Below are 21,643 nucleotides of genomic sequence, written 5' to 3'. Positions count from 1 at the left end.
AATGTTATTTCAAAAGGAAAAGCAAAATCTTGACCAGGTAATTGCCCAGCTTTCACTCCTTACCATTTTTAAAAACAGATACCAAATAGGCTCATCTCACATTAGCAAGTCGACAACACAAAGAACAAGCTACAAATAATGAAACGGTCTGCAATCTGTTGCCATGTTTCTAAACCACGGCCCTAAAATTCATCCACCTTTTAACCAGACCCACAGTACTCTACTGGTGACAATTTCTTAAGCAAGTCAAAACTCGTTAGTCACCAGACATATGATTACTAGATTAAGCACATACTCTTAAGTTTCAAACCTACGAATTTAAAAGAAAAATAAAGCCTCCAGACAGTTCCTTCCAGTGTTTGTATAGGCCAACAAACGATGAAAAAAATAGAAATGATGTTAAATATTTAAATAATCACTTGTCCAGTAAAAAAATGAACAGCAATTGAATATCTACTTCCTCAATAACCTTACCACATGCACATGTGCATGTACACAACACACAACACACAACACACACACACACACACACACACACACACACCCCTTTAGGACCAGCTTCCATAATACAATCTTAAACTACCACTCCTTTCCCTGCTCCCAGAAGGGACCTAAGGCAAGTACCAATGGTTCCATTTAGACTCTGGAAGTTAACCAGGACAACAGTACACACTCCTTACTCCTTGGTGTTAGCTCACTGACACAGGTGTCTCCCCGGTCCCAAGAGAAAACTCCTAAAGGGTAGGGACCCATGTTCCATTCATCTTTGTATGCCCCACAGTGCTAGAATCTGCAAAATGTTCTACACAGTGAGCACCAAACAAGAAATGTTGAATGTTAAAGAACAAAATAGAAAACTAGATGTACTTAAGAGATCTATAGAATTCCAGAATGCAATATGCAAATGTTCTTATTCCTAAACCTCTCCCAAAGAAGGTAGAGAATATTTAGCTTTGTGGCATTATGTGTCCAAAAGCTTATGTATGGACTTTAAATAATGTATGTATGGCTCAATTTTCTCATCTGAACAATGAGGATAATAAAAATAGCTAACTGATACGGTCTTGAGACAGTTAAAGATGTTGGTATAGGTAATGTCTCCTTAGACCAATGACACGAACGCTATACACATTACTTATGAAGGGTTAGCTACTCATTTTACTGGAAATAATAAATAATATAAATAAATAAGGTCCACACAGCTCTGCAAAGGAGACCAAAGGTTAAAAGAAATTAGCCTAGAAGACGTAATATCACAGTTTGGCAAACTTTTCTGTAAAGGACCAGACACTACTGTAAATATTTTAGGCTTTACAAGACAAGCCGCAATACCCTCAACCCTTGGAGCAACTATTCCCCCTGAAAAATTAGTAGATTTTTTGTTTACATTTTACATTTCAGAATTTAAGAATCATTCTTAGTTCATGGGGCCATACAAACATAGGCTGGATTTGGCCCCCAGGCACTAGTTTGCCAATCCCTGGATAAGATAATAATGGTAATACAGTCAGTGTTTTAAAAGCAACATAAAGAAATGTTTGTGAATTGGCTTAAAGGTAACTGAAAAACGTGCGGCCCCAAACTTCTAAAATCCGGACCGGCGGACCAGTGCGGTGGGGAAACCGGCCAGGACTAGGGCCGGTCTTCAGGAGCCGGCGCGGAACTCCACGGCTCTCGGGGTCCGCTAAGCCCCCGCCCACACTTACTCCCAGCAGCGGCCCGCGGCCGATCACCGTCTCCCCGGGCGCCAGGGCCACCCGGGGACCGCCGTCCCGCGGCTGCAGCTCGAAGCCCCCGGACATGGCGGGCAAGGATTAGGCCCCTTCGCCAGGAGACTGGCCCCTCCGCTGTTTCCGCCCTCCACAGACACGCGCGGGGCAAGCCCACGCCCTGGGAAAAAACACCGAGGGAGGGCCTCAAAGGCTCCCCGCGGCTGCGCCGGTCCTCTCAGAGCCCGGCCCCAGCGCAGCTTCACGAGTCCCGCCCCTCCACGCCTACTAATGACGCAACCGGGGATTCCCCAGTCTCGCCGCCTCAAAACTACTGTTTAAAAACCCCGGCTTATTCCCCAACACCCTTTTCACCTCCCTCCCATCTTGGAGGACGCCGGGCCTTGTAGTCCTGGTGGCTTTCTTCACTTCCTTTCCCGAGCGGAGACGCCCTGGAAAAAACTACCAATCCCCAAAGGCACTGCGCGCCCCTCTCGGCGCCTGCGCGAGTTCTGAGCAGGGCGGGACTCAGGTGGGCGGGATGCGAAGAGCTATGGGGAAGGATTCGAATTCCGGTGGATTTAAATCGCGGGAGGAGAAGCTACCGCGGCCTAGTAGGTAGAAGGGTCTTCCGTTCCCGTTGGCTTAGGTGTCTACGCTCCCGGGGACGCGGCCTGGACGCAAGCTCAGCCTTCCCTCCGCGGCCTGGAGCCGCAGTGACAGTCAACGCTGACGGTTGTTGTCACTTGTCAGTGCCCTGTGTTCTTGGGTTCCAGCAGCTGCAACCCGCGCGGGACACAAGGAGGGTGGCTCAGACGGGACGTGGGGTGATTAGCCCTGACCCGCGGGATTTGGACGGAGTGGGGCTCCCCGCCCCTCCGACTGCGCTGCCGCCGATCTATCCCTCCGAATGATAGTTGAAAGGGGGACGAGCTTTTACTTCACTTGAGAGAGAATTCAGGAAAGCTCAGTTCATAAAGGAGAAAGGGCAGAAGAGGGGTCGTTTCCAGGCATCCAGGCGAACCTGGACGTAGAAGAAAGATTCCTAGTGGGATTTTAGAAACTCGCAAAGGTATCCCCTGCTGTGAAATTCAAAAGCCTTCATTCCCGTTACAGGAATTCCACAAGGGGACGCATTTTATTCTCCCAGTAAGATCCTGGGAGAAGTGGATAAACACACTGTAACGTTTAAATGCACTGTAACGTTTTCCTAATGTGAGATTCTTTTCAAGAACGTTGTGGTTTGGCTTTGGTTTGTATTGGTGGTGGGAGGGGCCAAGGTGCATGGCAAAAACTTGCTCTTGACTCACCCGTTTTTACGTTTGCTTTCTTACTTCTCCTAACCCTCAAGAAGAAGACCTCTGTTGAACACAGACTGCAGTTCCAGCCACCACAGCTAATCTGGATCATGAATGGGAGCCACCGTGGTCTTGGCAAGTCCGAAAACATAGCTGAGTAGCTCGTCTAGAAAAGAGATTTGTGTTCAGCTGAGTTAAAAGAAGTATTTACCTCAAACCTCTCCTCTTGCACAACCAACCCCCGTTATAAAAGGAAGTGCAAAATGGAATAAACTGATTTTAAGTGAATACAAGCTGTCTTTATATACAAAAGTAACTCAAGGATGGTGATGTACCCAGTCATGCTTTCAACTGATTTGGGAAGCCTACACCATTCACCTTAGGTAAATTAGCTGAAACTGAGCTTTAAATCTGGGCTTCAAAGAGTCACATACTGTACCTAGCTGAGTTCTAAACATTGTTTACAGTTGTCACTCACTGTTGCTTGATGTCTTCAGTGACTATTATCCTTAGCTTGTAATTATGCATGTAGGATAGCTTCAAGGGGCCATTTCTAAAACACTACTCTTATGACTGAGTTGAATATTTGAGACTTTGTTTCATAATCCAGATCTCATCTTCTTGTCCATTTCAGATAGTAGTTGTGTCAAATGTAAGCACCTACCTACCTATAAGATACAAGTAGATAAAATTCTTATATAAACAACTAGAAGTCCAGCAAGTTTATGATTAAGTCACAAATTGCAAATTAATGATGAGGCATCAGTTCCCATGTACAACAAGTATTCAGGAGTTTAATAGGATTGACTCATATACATTTTCAAAGGTACAAAAGTACCGGGTATGGTGGCTCATACCTGTCATCCCAGCACTCTGGGAGGCTGAGGCAGAAGGATTGCTTGAGGACAAGAGTTCAAGACCAGCCTGGACAACATAGCAAGAACCATTTCTCCGTAAAACAGTTTTTGGTTTTCTGTTTTTTTTTTTTTCTTTTTTTTTTTTTTAAAGAGGGGCGGGGTACGCTGAGTCAAGAGAATCGCTTGAGGCTGGAGTTTGAGGCTGCAGTGAGCTATTATGACACATCTGCACTCCAGCCTGGGTGAGAGTGAAACTAACATGTTGGGTGCCTCCCATGTGCAATTCAGATGTAGCAAGACTAGATATTTTACCCACTATCACTGTTAATCCTTGCAAGAACTTTCAGGAGAGCGGCAGCATTGGCCCATTTTACAGATTGAGAAGCTAAAGTCAAGAAAGAGTTCTTAAATTATACCCAAAAAGCATCTGACTTAAAGTAGGATTTATACTCCTATTTGGAGACTGAGCATGTTTAAATTTTGCCTTTTAGGTTACATATGAGGATAACTTAAAACATTAAGCTATGCATAAAAACTCCAAGAGAAACAATAATTTAAGAGTTTCTCACACAGAAGCGAACTCTGTGGATGCTGAGAAGGAAAAAAATGAGAGTCAAAACAACTTTTTTGAACTGCTGCCTGCAGAAATCACTTTTAAAATTTTCAGTCAGCTGGACATTCGGAGTCTGTGCAGGGCTTCATTGACATGCAGGAGCTGGAATGACACAATAAGAAACAGTGACTCTTTATGGAAACCTCACTGCATGACTGTAAGAGCTGTGTGCCGAAGAGAAATAGATGATGATCTAGAAAGTGGTTATTCCTGGAGGGTAAGTTTAATCTTTGCGATCTGCAGTGTTGTTGACAGCGTTATGATAGCAGGTTTGCGCCAATTCTAACTTCTGCTTGGAGGAGTCAGAATTACATATGCAGAATAACACAGACAGTGTGTTGACTCTTGGAAATGAGTTAAAGTTATTAGTCTTTTCCTGCTAACCACACTGTTTCCACACTATCTTTCATTTATCCTTTTGCATTTTTAAAATTCTAAATTCGGGAATTTTCCTGCGTTAACCAGAAGGGAATTAGCTCCTTCTTTCCACTTCACCTTATGCCACTCAGTATAAATACACATATACATACACACACGTACACAGACACATACATTTATTAATGTACGTATATATAAATGTAAATACTCTTTTTTTCAGCCCTGTCAATCTGCTTCTCTTGCTTTAAACACATTCACTAACCAACCACCTACTACAGTCTTTTTTAACGGTGATTTACCTCTTTCAGGTGATACTGCTGAGGAATTACCAGAAGAGTAAAGTGAAACACGAATGGCTAAGTGGCAGATACAGCAACATTTGTTCTCCCATTAGCCTACCAGAAAAAATCATGTACCCAATGGATGCAGATACATGGGGGGAAATTCTAGAAGCAGAACTGGAAAGATAAGGGGAAAAAAAATCACAAATCTCAGGTCTTTGAAAGTTTAAAACTTAAATGACTCTTAGGTTGCAAAAGCGATATCTTTATTCGTTCATTTTGTTGTTCACCTTTTTAAAAGAAAATGAAATGGAACTATTATAAAAGTAAAGCTTTATTTTTGTTTTGCACTTTAGTAAAATTTTTCTGGTTTTATTGTAATGTGGAAAAATCATGAAATGTTATTTTTATAAGAAATAATATACTGATAGAGTGATTTCCAAATACAATGTTTCATGTATTTGTGTTAATATATTTGCAATACTAAATGTAAGAGTGATTTGTATGTTCAGCTTAATGATAATTCAAAATTTCAGGAAGCCACTTTAAACTGACTTAAAGATTCATTAAGTGGTGGTTATAACTAGGCTCATGGGAAGACTAGCTAAGTGAAATTAATAGCAATACATTTAAATTAATACATTGACATTTTAATGACTTTAACATTTCTATTTCAGTGGAATCAGATTGAAATGTCAAATAGTGAAACTATTTTTAATGTGTTAAGCCTGTGGTTTAGTTTTAAGTTAATGTCATCTCAGGGCTAAAGTTTGTCCAATTGAGATTCCCATTAATTTTATATAAACCTGGAACGGCTCTCAGGAGCTGAAAGTAAGTGGAAAGTTTCCAGAACACTTTACCATCAGAATGCCACACTAGCCTGGTAAAACTCTCTTTCTGACAGCCTTATAGCACCATCTAGTGTGCTATTCTTAGATAGCAAGACAAAGGACTTTCAGCTCCTTTTTGTTTTCTCCATATTAAAAAGAAAACTGTTATTCTAAAGAATCCTTAACACTTGTCTTTGTTAAAGTTTATAACTTTTTAGGAACCTTTATTTTAACTTTTAAAAACTTTTGTTTCTCTTTTTTCATAAAAACAGATTATATGCTACTCACTATAACAAATTGTTTATTCTGAATCTGTGGTTACCACCATAGTAAAAAAGTGTCTACAAACTGCTTTAGTTAGTGTGGGGTTTTCTTCTTAAAAACTGTTCTCTATAGCATTAAATATAAGAATCCAGGAAACCAATATTTAACAAATAGGCAAATATTAGAAAGATGCCCCACTATATGCAAATTCTGTATGTTGAATCAAGCAGTAGATAATTAATTGTCTCCTACTATCTTCTTAGAGTTGGAAGAGTCCTTGAAAATCAGGCAGTCAAGTGTCCAGGACTATTCAGTAATTTTCTCAATAGGAACACTGTCAGTCAGCCAGCCCAAGCTGAAATCCTGTACTTCTACTAATAGCATCTCTGTTATGTCACAGAACAGTCCAGTTGTAGTCTAGGCTTGCACTGAAGACCACCTCTCTGTAACGTTTGCCTTCTAGCCCCACTTCCACCCTCTAGAACCAGGCTGATTCAGTCCTTCCTGTCTATGATTGCCAGATATTTGAAGACTGATAGCCTGTCTCTTCCTATGTCTTCTCTCCAATTCCACTGATGATCATAGAGTATAATTTCTAGACCCAACAACATTCTCTTCTGCCCATTTACTCTTAACAAAAGAAAGGGGCTGTGCGCCATGGCTCACGCCTGTAATCCCAGCACTTTGGGAGACCAAGGTGGGTGGATCACCTCAGGTCAGAAGTTCAAGACCAGCCTGGTCAACATGGTGAAACCCTGTCTCTACTAAATATACAAAAATTAGCCGGGCGTGGTGGCAGGTGCCTGTAATCCCAGCTACTTGGGAGGCTGAGGCAGGAGAATCGCTTAAACCTGGCAGGCAGAGGTTGCAGTGAGCAGAGATCACGCCACTGCGCTCCAGCCTGGGCAACAAGAGTGAAACTTCGTCTCAAAAAAAAAGGAAGAAAGAAAGGTATCCTACTAATTTTATTTCATAAAAGATAAGAAAGCACTTGGAAATTTTCAAAGTATGGGAAAAATTAAAGCTATAAGCATTTTGCTGAATAGCATCTGTGTACAATAGTAAATGTACACATATATTTTTAGCTGTTTTTTTGTAATGGATGTTTATTATTTTTGTCCAGCCCCCTTACAATCTATCATCATCATCTGTTAATAGAAGTTATCCTAATTAGGGAGACTCACCCTTCTCACTTCCAACCAAGTGTGTGGTTTTTTTTGGCCGGGGTGGGGGGCAGTTTTTTGTTTTTGTTTTTTTGTTTTGTTTTTTGAGATGAAGTCTCACTCTGTCACCCAGGCTGGAGTGCAGTGGCATGATCTTGGCCCACTGCAACCTCCACCTCCCAGGTTCAAGCAACTCTCTGTGTCAGCCTCCCGAGCAGCCAGGATTATAGGCGCCCGCCACCATGCCCAGCTAATTTTTGTATTTTTAGTAGAAACGGGGTTTCACCATCTTGGCCTCCTGACCTTGTGATCTACCTGCCTCAGCCTCCTAAAGTGCTGGGATTATAGGCATGAGCCACCGCACCCAGCTGGGTTTTTTGTTTTCTTGTTTTTTTTTTTTTACATTATCCTGTTTTTCCCAGCCTCCGTGTTTAGTCCAAGGATGGAAACATGACCCAATCCCCCCTTTTCATAAGTTGGAAGAAAGAAGCCCTTTCCTCTTTGCTGATGAAACTGTTCCCTGCCACACAAAGAAAACGGATCTTGGCCGGGCGCGGTGGCTCACGCCTGTAATCCCAGCACTTTGGGAGGCCGAGGCGGGTGGATCATGAGGTCAGGAGATCGAGACCATCCTGGCTAACAAGGTGAAACCCCGTCTCTACTAAAAATACAAAAAATTAGCCGGGCGCGGTGGCGGGCGCCTGTAGTCCCAGCTACTCGGGAGGCTGAGGCAGGAGAATGGCGTGAACCCGGGAGGCGGAGCTTGCAGTGAGCCGAGATTGCGCCACTGCAGTCCGCAGTCCGGCCTGGGCGACAGAGCGAGACTCCGTCTCAAAAAAAAAAAAAAAAAAAAGAAAACGAAAACGGATCTTAAGTAAGAGAATGTGGAGCCACCAGGGGAAAGAACAATTGCAGGGAAAGAGGCCTGATTATATTCCAGACCCTGGTCCCAGCCATTCCTTATCTGCTTACCTAAATTAATTCAAATTGAGTTTCACCATCATACTGGGACCCCCACCTGATGTGGTTTCGTTGCCCATTTTTCAAATATGTATTATTTGTGGCTTACATTAACATCTTAGATTTCACTCTGACTTCCTCACCAGTCAGTCTTAATCTGCTATAATATGGCCATCACTCCATATGGTTGAAACTGTTGGTATCCAAATTACAAGTGACTTAATGTCTAAATCCACTGGATGCATTCTACTTGTTAATATATTTGACACACATAAACACTCACACTGACACACATAAGTACTTCTTAAAACTCTCTCCTCCATGGGTTGGAACTATAGTCTCTTGGACTTTTCTTTCCCTACTCTAACCCGTCTTCTCAGTTTCCTCCAAAGACTCGCTTTCCTTCACCTACTCATTACATGTTAGTGTTCCCCCAAAGTTCCACCTGTTGTCATCTCGTCTCTATACTCTAACATCCTTGGTGATCCCATCTACAACTCCTATGTCAGCTACCATTGTTGGTGCTAATGCCGTCTATGTCCGTGTCCCAACATCAGATCTCCATGAGATGTTCCAGAAATACATATGCTATTATCTTTTGGATTTTTATCCAAAGATAGTATAAGTATATATATATATATATAAAATATTTGATATATCCAAAGATAGTTTATATATAAGCACCTGAATCAAAACTTACCATCTCATAAAAGTAGTTCTTCCTCCAGTTCCTATCTCAGTGAATGGCATGTCCTGTTAGAAAATCACCATATTTTACTTTTCTCCATCATTCTCCAAGTCCAGCCGAGTCAATTCTTACTTGATTTTATCATCCAAATATCTAAGTAATTCACCTCTTCCCCATCTTTATCTCTGCCTCATTACTTAATTCTTGTCCTTATTTGACATTGGGATTTCTAAAATAACCTCTTACTGGTGTTCCTGCCTCCAGTTCCTTCCTTTTACTGTTAGCAGTGTAGTCTTTGTTAAACCCCAAATTTAGCACGTCACCCTAACTTAAACTCCTGACTGCATACAGGTAGAAATCAAAATTCCCCACTAAAGCCCATAGGGCCTTTAATGATGTGGTCTGGCCTACCTCTCCAGCCTGTTCTCTAACCACTGTCCCACCCTATATCTTTCTGTTCAGTCTTACAAAACTATTTCATAAAAATTTTCTCACTTCTCTGCCTTTGCACAGGCTGTTTGATATACCTGGAGTAATCCCCACCATTGATTCTTTTCTTGGCAAAAATCTATTGTAAAACTTATCATCTTGGCCTGGAAACAATCCATAACTTCTACTGTTCTGGATTAAGTGACTTTTTAGATGTTCTTGTAGTTCTTTGTATAGACCTCTCTCAAAACTGTCATATGACATTAAATTGTCTATTTTATTTGTGTGTTTGCCCCTTTACACTGTGAACTTCTTAATGGCAGGGACCATTTTTTATTTATTTTTGTGTCTTCAAAACCTGGCACACACTAGATGCTCTATAAAGATTTGTTAAATTATTTCTATAGTTATTTATTTTAATCCTACACAGAATGTATAAAAATAATTTACTATATTGTTAGTGAAGAAGATTGTATCAAAATGCAGTATACAATCCTTAAGGTATGTGGGATGCTTGATAGTAATACAAATGTATGAATAATTGTTCCAGTCTTCTCCAAACCTGTAAGAGGGAAATAGGAAAATAAAAATGTTTTGTTTTATTGTTTTGAACTCTTGAAAATAAACTTAACCTCAAAAATATCACTTATTATTTTGAATTATTGAATTACTTCCATCAGTTTTAAGTATTAGCTTTGCAAATTATGTGAATGAACATTAACTTCGATTTTTTTAGTGCTATTGCACTAAAATAACTAACAAATTATGTGCTATGATCAAGGTCTACACTGAAAGGAAACCTTTGGAACTTAGTGATAAATTTATGGTATGGGCTTAGAATGAACCATGCATTTATCAGGCCAAGCCATTAGCATCTGAAAACATGAGTGGGTGGAGCAGCATGGAAGGAAGGAATGTTCTTACTCATAGATAAAATAACATGTTAAGTGTGCACCCTGTGTACAAGAAGCAAGATTCTTGGGGAAGAGTATTAAGGAATTTTGAGTGTTTTAAATCAGTTTAAGATCTAGTATTTAGAAAAATAAATTTAGAAACCTTTTTTTTTTAGCTTCTTCTGGTTTATAACCCAATCTTAGACCAGAACATAATCATCAGTAAAATCTCTGTGAATATAAACTTTCGACCTGAGGCTACTTGCATATGTACAAACCTAATTTTAAAACTATGGCTGGGTGCGATGGCTCACACCTGTAATCCTAACACTTTGGGAGGCTGAGGCCGACAGATTGCTTTAGCTCAGGAGTTCGAGACCAGCCTGGGCAACATAGTGAGACCTTGTCTGTACTAAAAATTTTAAAAATCAGCCAGGTGTGGTGGCGCATACCTGTAGTCCAAGCTACTCAGGAGGCTAAGGTATGAGAATTGCTCGAGCTTGGGAGACTGAGGCTGCAGTGAGTTGTGATCGCACCACTGCACTCCAGCCTGGGTGACAGAGTGAGGCCCTGTGTCAAAAGAAAAGAAAAATGTAATATACCCCTGACCACTTTAACTTCATCTTTGCTTTGACTTTATATCATGTCTTCTCTCCAAGACTTCAAATGCCCTAGTAATATTAATGAAAGTAAGATGAGTAGCAACTTAAGGAAATGGGTTGGGAAGAATACATAAGATGGAAGATCACACATTTTTATTTAGAGTTTAAGACCAAAAACATCAAATTGATGAAATCAGATCAACAATGGACGAAGCTGATTAATTATAACAGCTGACATTAATTGAATGCCTTCTTGTACCAAGCATTGTTCTTACACGATGTATGCTTACTCTATATCCATTTTATGGATGAGGAAACTGAAAGAGAATGATGTTTTCCATCTATTTAATCACCACTTCCCAGCACTTACAAGAATGTGTCATACATAGTAGGTACTCAATAAATGTTTATCAAATGACTTCAGAAACTTAGAATGAATAACTTAGATGAAAGAGCCAAGAATGTCCCTCCAAGTTTTTCACTGGAAAAATTTCAAACCCACAGAAAAGTAAAAATATATGACAAATCACTATTTTGTACACCATCCACCTAGAAATACAAGTTGTTAACATGTTTCTATGTTTGTTTTGTTTATTTATTCATCTTTGCTGAAACATTGAAAAGAAGTTGCAGACATGATGATACTTCACCCCTAAATACTTCAGCATGTATCTCCTAAAAATACACTCCTACATGCAATATCATTATCACATCTAAAAATTCTTATATTAATTCAATAATATCATGTAATTTACAATCCATATTTAAATTCCCCAGTGGCCCCCAGAATATCTTTTATAGATTCTTTTTTTCAATTTAGGCTACAAGAAAATATTTATACATGCATCTGAGTTTTTTGTCGCTTTGCTCTCTTTTAACCAGAAGTGTCCCCTGGCTTTGGTTTTATTTTTTAGGATATTGACTAATTTTTTTTCTTTTGAGACAGAGTCTCGTTCTGTCACCCAGGCTGGAGTGCAGTAGCGCAATCTCAGCTCACTGCAACCTCCACCTCTCAGGTTCAAGCAATTCTCCTGCCTTAGCCTTCCTAGTAGCTGGGACTACAGGCACGCGCCACCACGCCTGACTAATTTTTGTATTTTTAGTAGAGACAGGGTTTCACCATGTTGGCCAGGCTGGTCTCAAACTCCTGACCTCAAAATCCACCCGCCTCGGCCTCCCAAAGTTCTGGGATTGCAGGCTTGAGACTGGTTATCTTATAGAATATTCTGTAGTTGATTTATCTGATTCTGTCTTCATAATTTGATTCAGAGGGCAGGCGTGGTGACTTACACCTATAATCCCAATACTTTGGGAGGCCGAGGTGGGAGGATCACTTGAGCCCAGGAGTTTAAGACCAGCCCAGGCAATGTAGCAAGATGCCATTTCTACAAAAAATTTTAAAAATAAATTGACTGGGCATGGTGGTGGGCGCCTGTAATACCAGCTACCTGGGAGGCTGAGGTGGGAGGATTGCTTGAGCCCAGGAGGCCAAGGCTGTAGTGAGCTGTGATTGCAACACTGCACTCTAGCCTGCAAGACAGAGTGAGACCCTGTCTCAAAAAAAAAAAAAAAAAGATTCAGTAAAACATATTTGGCAATTATACTACATAGTAATTATACTGCAAGTGATGAAATATTCTTCTCATTACATCACATAAGAAGCACATAATGTCTGATGGTTCTACTATACAAGATGGTTAAGTCTGATCATTTGGTTGAGGTGGTAATCACCAAGTCTCTTCACCAAAAGACCCATTTTTTCATATAGCCAATGTTTGTTTTTTTCAACAACCCATTTCTAGAGTACTCCCCTATGGCCAACTCTATGCTAAGTGCTTTATAGACATTATCGGACATATGGCTAGTTTTCTCCTCAAGACATTTACCAAATTCTGAAGCTCTGAGGGACTGTAAGCTAAGAAGCTAAGCAGAGAACCTCTTAGAAGCAAAGGAGATTTTGCCCAGTCTCACACTACTGAGGACACAATGATTACAGTTGAGGACCCAGTAGAGGGAAGGTAAACAACTCAGGTTCTCAGTTGAAATCTTTGGTGGGCTCTGTACAATGGGCTCCAGCCTAAATTCAGGTAAATCTCCGATTTGATTAAGGTGAGCAAACCCCACTGCCTAACGGAGGATAAGATGAATTCACTCTAGAGGAAGATGACGTCATCTGGAGCCTCTTCAGTTTTTCATATACAATGTCTGCACTTAAAACATTATCAAGCATCCTAAAAGACAGAACTAAATGATTGGAAATCACGGGTTGGGAGGGGTGGAAGAACATAGAAGCAAAGTCACAGGGATTTAGTTACTGGAGTTTGCAGGCAAGAATTTTTAAGTAGCTATGATTTTAAAATCCAGGCAGATGGATGAAAAGATGAGGAAAACAGATTAATATGAAGATGTTTACCAGAAAACTAGAGAACTAAATGGAAATTATAGAATTGAAAAATACAACAACAGAAATGTATGCATAGGCTTAATAGCAGTTTATAACACTGAAAAAGCATTTACGTACTGGAAAATAGAACAATAGAACAATGCCAACATTGAAGCACAAAAAGAAAAAAACAAAAAAAGGATTTAGAGATTGAAACAGCATACAAAGTTTCAATATGTTCATATGGGATGTCCAAAAGGGACGGACAGAGAAAGGTAGCTCTTAAATTTCCCTCCGCTTAGTGGGACATGGGATATCTGAGTGAGTTCCCCCCACCCCATGAGATAGCTGTAGAAGTAGCTGAGAACACAGCAAAGGAGCCTCACAGCCGAAGCCGTGGGATTGAGAGCCTAAACCAAGAGCCCAATAGAGGTTGCTGCAGTGTCTTTAGAGTAACAGTAGCCACAGTGCAAATTGAGGTGGGCCAGAGTCAGCTGAAGGAAGACTCCTATACCTCAATCCCCGATTGTGCTAAGAAAACTGACTGCAAATTACAGTAACCAAGAGTGCAGTGAGAGGAGAGGATTAGTGGAAAGTGGAAGGTTGTTAGGAATGGAAGGAAGCATGCAGGCCTAGGGCCTTGCCCCGATGCCTTGCTGTTACTTCAGCCGCCTTTCTGCATGGATGTCAGGAAAAAGGAAGAAGGGAAAAAAGAGGGAGCAACTCCAAGTAGAGTTGCCAGATTTAGCAAATAAAATACTTGAGTTTCAGATAAATAGCAAATTGTTTTTTGGTATATGTCCCCAATGTTTGCAAAGAACACACTTATACTAAAACAAATTCATTTTTATCTGAAATTTAAATTTAACTGAGCATCTTGTATTTTCTCTGGCATCTCTAACCCTGAAAGACTGAGTAACGTGCTGAGCCTGAGTTAATGTGGAAATGACTGGAGTATGGTTGTCCCTCTGAACCCGTGTGTTCTGCATCCACAGATGCAACCGCGGGTCAAAAATACTAGGAAAAATAAAAACAAATGGAAATACAACAATAAAAAATTATATAAAAAGCAACACAGTATAATAACTACATAGCATTTACATTGCATTAGTATTATAAGTAATTTAGAAATGATTTAAAGTATACGGAAAGATGTGCACAGGTTGTGTGTAAATATTGCACAATTTTATATAAGGGACTTGAGCATCTGCAAATTTTGGCAGATACCAAGGGATGACTGTACTTTTAATGGGCAAGATTAAATTTTACAGTGTGTCTCATTCCTCTCCCAATTCCACACTGCTCACGGAAAAGAAAATAGGAGTTGACCAAGTGGTGATATTGTAGGGTAACTCAATCTCCTCTCAGGCCCACTCTGCCTAAACACTCTACAGCATACCCCATTTCCACTCTACTGTGATTGGCACACACCTAAAACAAATAGCATGTCCTATTTGTCCCACCGTTTCCAGGTGGAACATACAGCAGAAGTCCGTTCTGTCACGAAATCATCAAATGTGTTTGTGGCTTTCAACACTGGAGGAAGGTGGAGGTAGGACCTCTTGGAAATGCCTCATGTAACCCTCCTTTACTCTTCTTGGATTCTCTTCTTCACGCCAACTGGCAAACTTCTCAATCCCTTTTGGGGTGGGAATGCTGTACTGCACTTCATTCATATCCTATCTTTTTCTTCCTTCCTATATCTGGTAGTTCATTTAATAAACACTGTTCTAGATTCTCTAAAGGGAATAATTTGGAATTAAAAAGACCTTTTTCTTCCTCAAGTGCCTCTATCATTTTGTTGTGCCAACTGAAGAATCACGAGGTTCATGAATGTGGAAAGGAGAGCTTTATTTCTTATAAAGGGTTGCAGCCTGCAGGCTGGCCATCCCACAGCCTGGGAAGGGTAGCTTCTGGCAGAAACCAGAAGCAGGTACTTCTAGGGAGGGAAGGGTAAGACAGGAATTTAGGCTGAAAGGGTCAGCTAAGTATATACATTTAACAGGCTATAGGAGGAGCTATGAATATTCACAAAAGGGGAGTGCACTCATGCACAGCAAGCTAACATGTATGTTACCTACATCCTATGTTCACTTTAGGATGGAAACTTAACATTTAAATGTATTAAAATTAGGCTCTATACGTCAAAAGCTGAAACAGAGGACACAGAAGCATCCTGTGTGCAGCTTCTGTAAACCGGCCAGAACCAGTCCATGGTTAGTGGCCTCTTATCAGGAAGGAATGATGGTCAGTTGTTGTGTCAAACTGCAAAAAGGAAGAAGAGTCCAGCAAGTCTTCAGAAAGGGCCTGTTTCTGTTTAACACTTAGGAGTGGAAGTATAATGGCAAGTAGCAAGGGAGGGAGTATAACAGGGCATGTCTGACCTCCCAATCCATCATGGCTGGGAATTCAGCTTTTAAGATTTCTCTAGGATCTCCTTAGCCAAGAGGGGAGTCCTTTTAGTCAGTTGCAGGGGGGACCTTTGGATTTTATTTTCGTTTCTCAGTTGAAAGCCTAGCAGTTAAGACTTCTGAGTCTTCTATGCTTGAAAAAAGTCTTTTGAAATTCAAAGCTGAGTTCTGACTTCTTTATTCTCGGCTGTACCTACCAGACCCACAAAGCACTGGATGCCTGTCTTTCCAGGCAGAGAGCTGCAGAGAAATAAGAATTACTGGGCATGGAAAATACAGCGGAATGTATTACAAAAAAAAAACAACCCATTCTAGTATTACTCTACACAATAAAATAATGCTGGAAAAGGAAGAAAGAGTAAAAACTATAAAGAACAGCTGAGACAGAAGAAGGTAATAAACAAGGCATGCGGGTTGGGTTTCTAATAAAAGCTTGACATCCTTATATTGAGTTCTACCACAAGTAAAACTGACTTTTTTCATGAACCTGTTTGCATTTTCCAATACCTCCTTGTCCTTACCCAGTCAGGGCCGGATGGAAATAAAAAAAGATAAAACTGCAGTTTTACAAGTACCACACCAATCATACTGTATTATCATAAACATTAACTGCTCAAGAAAAAATTTTTCTTAATTAATTAATTTAGTTATTTATTTTTAGAGACTGGGTCTCACTATGTTGCCCAGGCTGGCCTCGAACTCCTGAGCTCAAGCAATCCTCTCCCCTCAACCTCCCAAAGTGCTGGAATTACAAGCATGAACCACTGTTCTGGCCCAAAAGAAATTTTTAATAATCATTTTCTGAGGCCTACTTTTCTGCTATGGGTCTTCTGTGCCTTGTAGGGGAAAAAAACCCAGCTGCTGGTTTCCCAGTTTGCTCATTTTGATTTACTTTTAATATGACAAAATTATACAGTCCATTTGTCACACAATGAAATCCTGATAGAAAATATGTAAAACCATAAAAGAAGCTTTCTAAAAATCACACGTGAGAATCTCCCCCACTTATTGCTGTGGTTGTGTTTTTTTGTTGCCTAACAAGTAGATTGAGCACAATTTCCTGTCTTTATTCTCATTGGTTAGTGAAGAAAATAAAAAGGACTGCTTTTGCCATTGTTTTCCTGTGTATGGCCTACTTTTTTCATCAGTTCAACTTTTTTTTTTCTCTCTCAGACTTTTATTATATATTTTTAAACGTGCTTTCTCCCTAAATGTTTTATTTTGAAAGTTTTCACTCTTACAAAAAATTTCAAAGTCTAGAATATGGCATCATCACCTAGATTAACCAATTGTTAACTTTAACCATGTGTGCTTTATCTCTGTCTATACCAGGTCCCTAAACTTTATCACTATTAACATTCTGGGCTGGATAATTCTTTGTTTGGGGGAGGGGCAGGGGTGCTGTCGTATACACTGTAGAATGTTTAGCAGCACCGCTGGCCTCTATTCATTAGATGCCAGTAGCACCACTTCCCAAGTGCTGGCAACCAAAAATGTCGCCAGACATTGCCAAATGTCTCCTGGGGGAAAATCCCTCTTGTTAGGAACTACTGGTTTATACTACATTTTAAAAAAACACCTAAATGTCCATCAACCAAGAAGAGTGGATAAAGAATAGATATCTATAATATGTATATTTATATATAATATATATTATATATTTTATATATAATATATATAATTTATATATAATATATAATATATATTTTATATATTATATATTATATATATTATATATAAAATATATATTTAATATAATATATAATATAATATATATATATTTTATATAATATATAATATATATATTTTATATAATATATAATATATAATATATAAAATATATATTTAATATAATATATAATATATTATATATAATATGTAATATATAATATATAATATATTATATATAATATGTAATATATAATGTATATTATATATTATAATATATAATATATATTATATAATATACATTATATATAATATATATTATATATAATATACATTATATATAATATACATAATATACATTATATATAATATACATAATATACATTTTATATATAATATATATAATATACATTTTATATATAATATATATAATATACATTTTATATATAATATATATAATATACATTTTATATATAATATATATAATATACATTTTATATATAATATAAAATTATATATAATATACATTTTATATATAATATAAAATTATATATAATATACATATTATATATAATATAAAATTATATATAATATACATATTATATATAATATAAAATTATATATAATATACATTTTATATATAATATAAAATTATATATAATATACATATTATATATAATATAAAATTATATATAATATACATATTATATATAATATAAAATTATATATAATATACATATTATATATAATATAAAATTATATATAATATACATATTATATATAATATAAAATTATATATAATATACATATTATATATAATACAAAATTATATATAATATACATATTATATATAATATAAAATTATATATAATATACATATTATATATAATATAAAATTATATATAATATACATATTATATATAATATAAAATTATATATAATATACATATTATATATAATATAAAATTATATATAATATACATTTTTTATATAAAATAAAATTATATATAATATACATTTTATATATAAAATAAAATTATATATAATATACATTTTATATATAAAATAAAATTATATATAATATACATTTTATATATAAAATAAAATTATATATAATATACATTTTATATATAAAATAAAATTATATATAATATACATTTTATATATAATATAAAAGTATATATAATATACATTTTATATATAATATAAAAGTATATATAATATATATTATATAGATATAAAATTGTATATATAATATATATTATAGATAGATATAAAATTGTATATATAATATATAATATGTAGATATAAAATTATATATAATATATATTATATGATATAAAATTATATATCATATATTATATATGATATAAAATTATATATACCATATATATTATATATGATATAAAATTATATATACCATATATATTATATATGATATAAAATTATATATATCATATATATTATATATGATATAAAATTATACATATAATATTAAATATAATGTAAAATATATAATATATAGTATATATTTTATCTATTATAATATTATATATTATATATTATATATTTTATTTATAAATTATATATAAATATATATAAATTATATATAAATATATAAATATGTAAATAATTATATATAAATTATATATAAATATATAAATTATATATGAATATATAAATAATTATATGTAAATTATATAAATATATGAATAATTATATATAAATTATATAAATATATAAATTATAAATATATAAATTATATAAATATATAAATTATAAATATATAAATTATATAAATATATAAATTATAAATATATAAATTATATAAAAATTATATATATAATTTATATATATAAATTATATAAATTATATATATAAATTATATAAATCATATATATAAATTATATAAATTATATATATAAATTATATATATAAATTATATAAATTATATATATAAATTATATAAATTATGTATAAATTATATATATAAATTATATAAATTATATATAAATTATATATATAAATTATATAAATTATATATAAATTATATATATAAATTATATAAATTATATATAAATTATATATATAAATTATATAAATTATATATAAATTATATATATATATTATATAAATTATATATAAAAATTATATAAATTATATATAAATTATATATAAAAATTATATAAATTATATATAAATTATATATAAAAATCATATAAATTATATATAAATTATATATATAATTTATATAAATTATATATAAATTATATATAAATTATATATATAATTTATATAAATTATATATAAATTATATGTATAAATTATATAAATTATATATAAATATATAAATAATATAAATATATAAAAATATATAAATAATATATATTATAAAATATATATTCTATATAATATATAGAATATATTTTATATATTCTATATATTACATAGAATATAATATATTTTATATATATTCTATATAATATATAAAATACTAGGGTGTATATATATTACATGGTATATATATATTACATGATATATATATATCCACACCATGGAATACTACTCAGCCATACAAAGGAACAAAATAATGGCATTCGGAGCATCCTGGATCCTGGATGGAGTTGGAGACCATTATTCTAGGTGAAATAACTCAAGAATGGAAAACCAAACATTGTATGTTCTATCTTATGAGGGAGAGCTTAAGCTATGAAGACTCAAAGAATAATATAATGGACTTTGGGGACCCGAGGGGAATGGGAAAGTGTGGGCAAGGGATAAAAGGCTACACATTGGGTTCACCATACACTGCTCAGATGATTGGGTGCTCCAAAATCTCAGTAATTACCACTGAATAACTTATCCATGTAACCAAAACCCACCTGTTCCCCCAAAACTATTGAAATAAGTTAAAAATGTGCTGGGTGGGGAAATATGCATGGCGGCGAGGCGGGTAGGCACAAGGCAGACTCTGCGGGGCTGGCGTTGTGCGGGCAGAAGCTGGTGGTGCAGGGGAGCAGCCGGTTCCAGACCACCTCCACTGCAAGCAGTGACGATGACAGCCTCTTCATCTATGACTGCAGTGCTTGAAAACAAGTCACAAGAAAATAAAGGGGACGACGAGCCGCCCTTGGTTCAGGGGAGCGGTGCAATTGTCGGTCCACCTTCTCCAAGTCTGGCAGCTGTTTTCTTTAACCGATGGCAGTAAGTGTCTGATTCTTTTCTGTACATAACCATGGCAATGTCTGAGTGTCAGGACCATGACAAGGAGGTGTACGGACCTGACCTTCACAGCCTCCGAAGAGAAGGTCTTGGTGGCTGACAAGTCTGGAGGCGTCTCCTCTTCGGTGCTGGAGCCACACGGATGCGGCCGACTGGAGCTGCAGCACCTTTCTGTCCATGCTATTAGACGTGGCTGTGCATCCTGATGACCACTTCGTCCTCACTGCGGACCGGGACGAGAAGATCCAGGTCAGCAGGGCCGCCATGCCCCGCAGCATTGAGTCCTCCTGCCTCGGGCACACAGTTTGTGAACTACATCTCCATGTTGCCCACTCAGCCTGAGCTGCTTCCATCCTCCTCCGGGGCCTGCACCCTGAGGCTCTGGGAGTACAGAAGCGGCCGCCAACTTCACTTCTGTCACCTCCACAGTCTCCAAGAGTCCGCGGACCTCCAGGTCCCCCCAGAGGTTTGCCGCGTCCAGGATTGCGTTCTGGTGCCAGGAGAACCGGGTGGTGCTTCTGAGCACCTGCATTGCTGTGGGATACATCTTCCAGTTTCACGCCGGTAGACAGAAGCTGGTGTACAGGCAGCAGCTGTCATTCCAGCATCGAGTGTGGGATGTAGCTTTTGAGGAAACCCAGGGGCTGTCGGTGCTCCAGGACTGCCTGGAAGCCCCCCTCCCCTGGTGCTCTGCAGGCCTGTGGGTGGCCAGTGGCAGTCTGTTCCTGAAAGTGCCATGTTAAAGAAAGTCTCCAGTGTTCTTTGTGGGAACCGGGCCATGCTGGAAGGCTCTGCCTGCGTGAACCCCAGCTTTAGCAGTCTCTACAAGGCCAACTTTGACAACATAACCTTCTACCTGAAGAAGAAAGAGGAGAGACTGCAGCAGCAGCTGAAGAAGCAGCAGCGCAGTTGAGTCCCCCACCTGGGCCAATGGGCAGGCCAAGAAGATAAGGCCGGGGGAGTCAGCCTGGCGTTGCTGATCTTGGCTGTCGGT

General features: G+C 37.0%; 2 protein-coding genes and 1 pseudogene across 5 annotated transcripts in view, besides 4 other annotated features; 2 read left to right on the top strand and 1 right to left on the bottom strand.

Moving 5' to 3' along the window:
• The window catches only part of APLF (aprataxin and PNKP like factor), a 112,578-nt gene extending 110,629 nt beyond the window's left edge, over positions 1 to 1,949 (bottom strand). Inside the window, exon 1 of the mRNA NM_173545.3 lies at positions 1,707 to 1,949. Within this exon, the coding sequence (NP_775816.1) occupies positions 1,707 to 1,802 (96 nt within the window). The 5' untranslated portion in view covers positions 1,803 to 1,949. The remainder of the gene's footprint in view (positions 1 to 1,706) is intronic.
• Positions 1,216 to 2,110: an enhancer, noted in NCBI's record as "NANOG-H3K27ac hESC enhancer chr2:68694556-68695450 (GRCh37/hg19 assembly coordinates)". NCBI's record gives its function as "activates a minimal SCP1, AML or CMV promoter by ChIP-STARR-seq in naive H9 embryonic stem cells {active_cell/tissue: H9 hESC(naive)}" and the evidence as "EXISTENCE:reporter gene assay evidence [ECO:0000049][PMID:30033119]".
• Positions 1,665 to 1,874: a silencer, noted in NCBI's record as "silent region_11593". NCBI's record gives its function as "represses an Ori minimal core promoter by ATAC-STARR-seq in GM12878 lymphoblastoid cells {active_cell/tissue: GM12878}" and the evidence as "EXISTENCE:reporter gene assay evidence [ECO:0000049][PMID:35858748]".
• Positions 2,111 to 3,006: an enhancer, noted in NCBI's record as "H3K27ac hESC enhancer chr2:68693660-68694555 (GRCh37/hg19 assembly coordinates)". NCBI's record gives its function as "activates a minimal SCP1, AML or CMV promoter by ChIP-STARR-seq in naive H9 embryonic stem cells {active_cell/tissue: H9 hESC(naive)}" and the evidence as "EXISTENCE:reporter gene assay evidence [ECO:0000049][PMID:30033119]".
• On the top strand, positions 2,240 to 10,112 carry FBXO48 (F-box protein 48). Of its 4 annotated transcripts, none has more exons than NM_001024680.3 (4): positions 2,240 to 2,323; positions 3,064 to 3,390; positions 4,356 to 4,694; positions 5,164 to 10,112. In NM_001024680.3, exons 3-4 carry the CDS (start codon positions 4,389 to 4,391, stop codon positions 5,323 to 5,325), a joined length of 468 nt encoding a protein of 155 aa, NP_001019851.1. In that variant the 5' UTR covers positions 2,240 to 2,323; positions 3,064 to 3,390; positions 4,356 to 4,388; the 3' UTR covers positions 5,326 to 10,112. The 4 variants fall into 4 exon arrangements, 3 of the variants coding, with proteins under 3 accessions (NP_001019851.1, XP_005264464.1, XP_016859926.1); XM_005264407.4 differs by having other exon boundaries at positions 3,061 to 3,390; XM_017004437.3 differs by having other exon boundaries at positions 2,240 to 2,327; positions 3,061 to 3,390.
• Positions 3,100 to 3,159: an enhancer, noted in NCBI's record as "active region_15957". NCBI's record gives its function as "activates an Ori minimal core promoter by ATAC-STARR-seq in GM12878 lymphoblastoid cells {active_cell/tissue: GM12878}" and the evidence as "EXISTENCE:reporter gene assay evidence [ECO:0000049][PMID:35858748]".
• On the top strand, positions 20,348 to 21,643 carry WDR4P2 (WDR4 pseudogene 2; annotated as a pseudogene).

Source organism: Homo sapiens, chromosome 2 (assembly GCF_000001405.40).
Source record: "Homo sapiens chromosome 2, GRCh38.p14 Primary Assembly".
Classification (NCBI taxonomy): Eukaryota; Metazoa; Chordata; class Mammalia; order Primates; family Hominidae; genus Homo; species Homo sapiens.
This window is presented reverse-complemented; position numbering and strand designations above follow the sequence as displayed.

What these genes read in the sequence shown, in the direction of transcription:
- FBXO48 (NM_001024680.3), top strand. Translation starts at nt 4,389, where the DNA reads ATGCATAAAAACTCCAAGAGAAACAATAATTTAAGAGTTTCTCACACA. An exon ending in AAAGTGGTTATTCCTGGAGG is followed by an intron (nt 4,695 to 5,163) that starts GTAAGTTTAATC and finishes TACCTCTTTCAG; the next exon opens with GTGATACTGCTGAGGAATTA.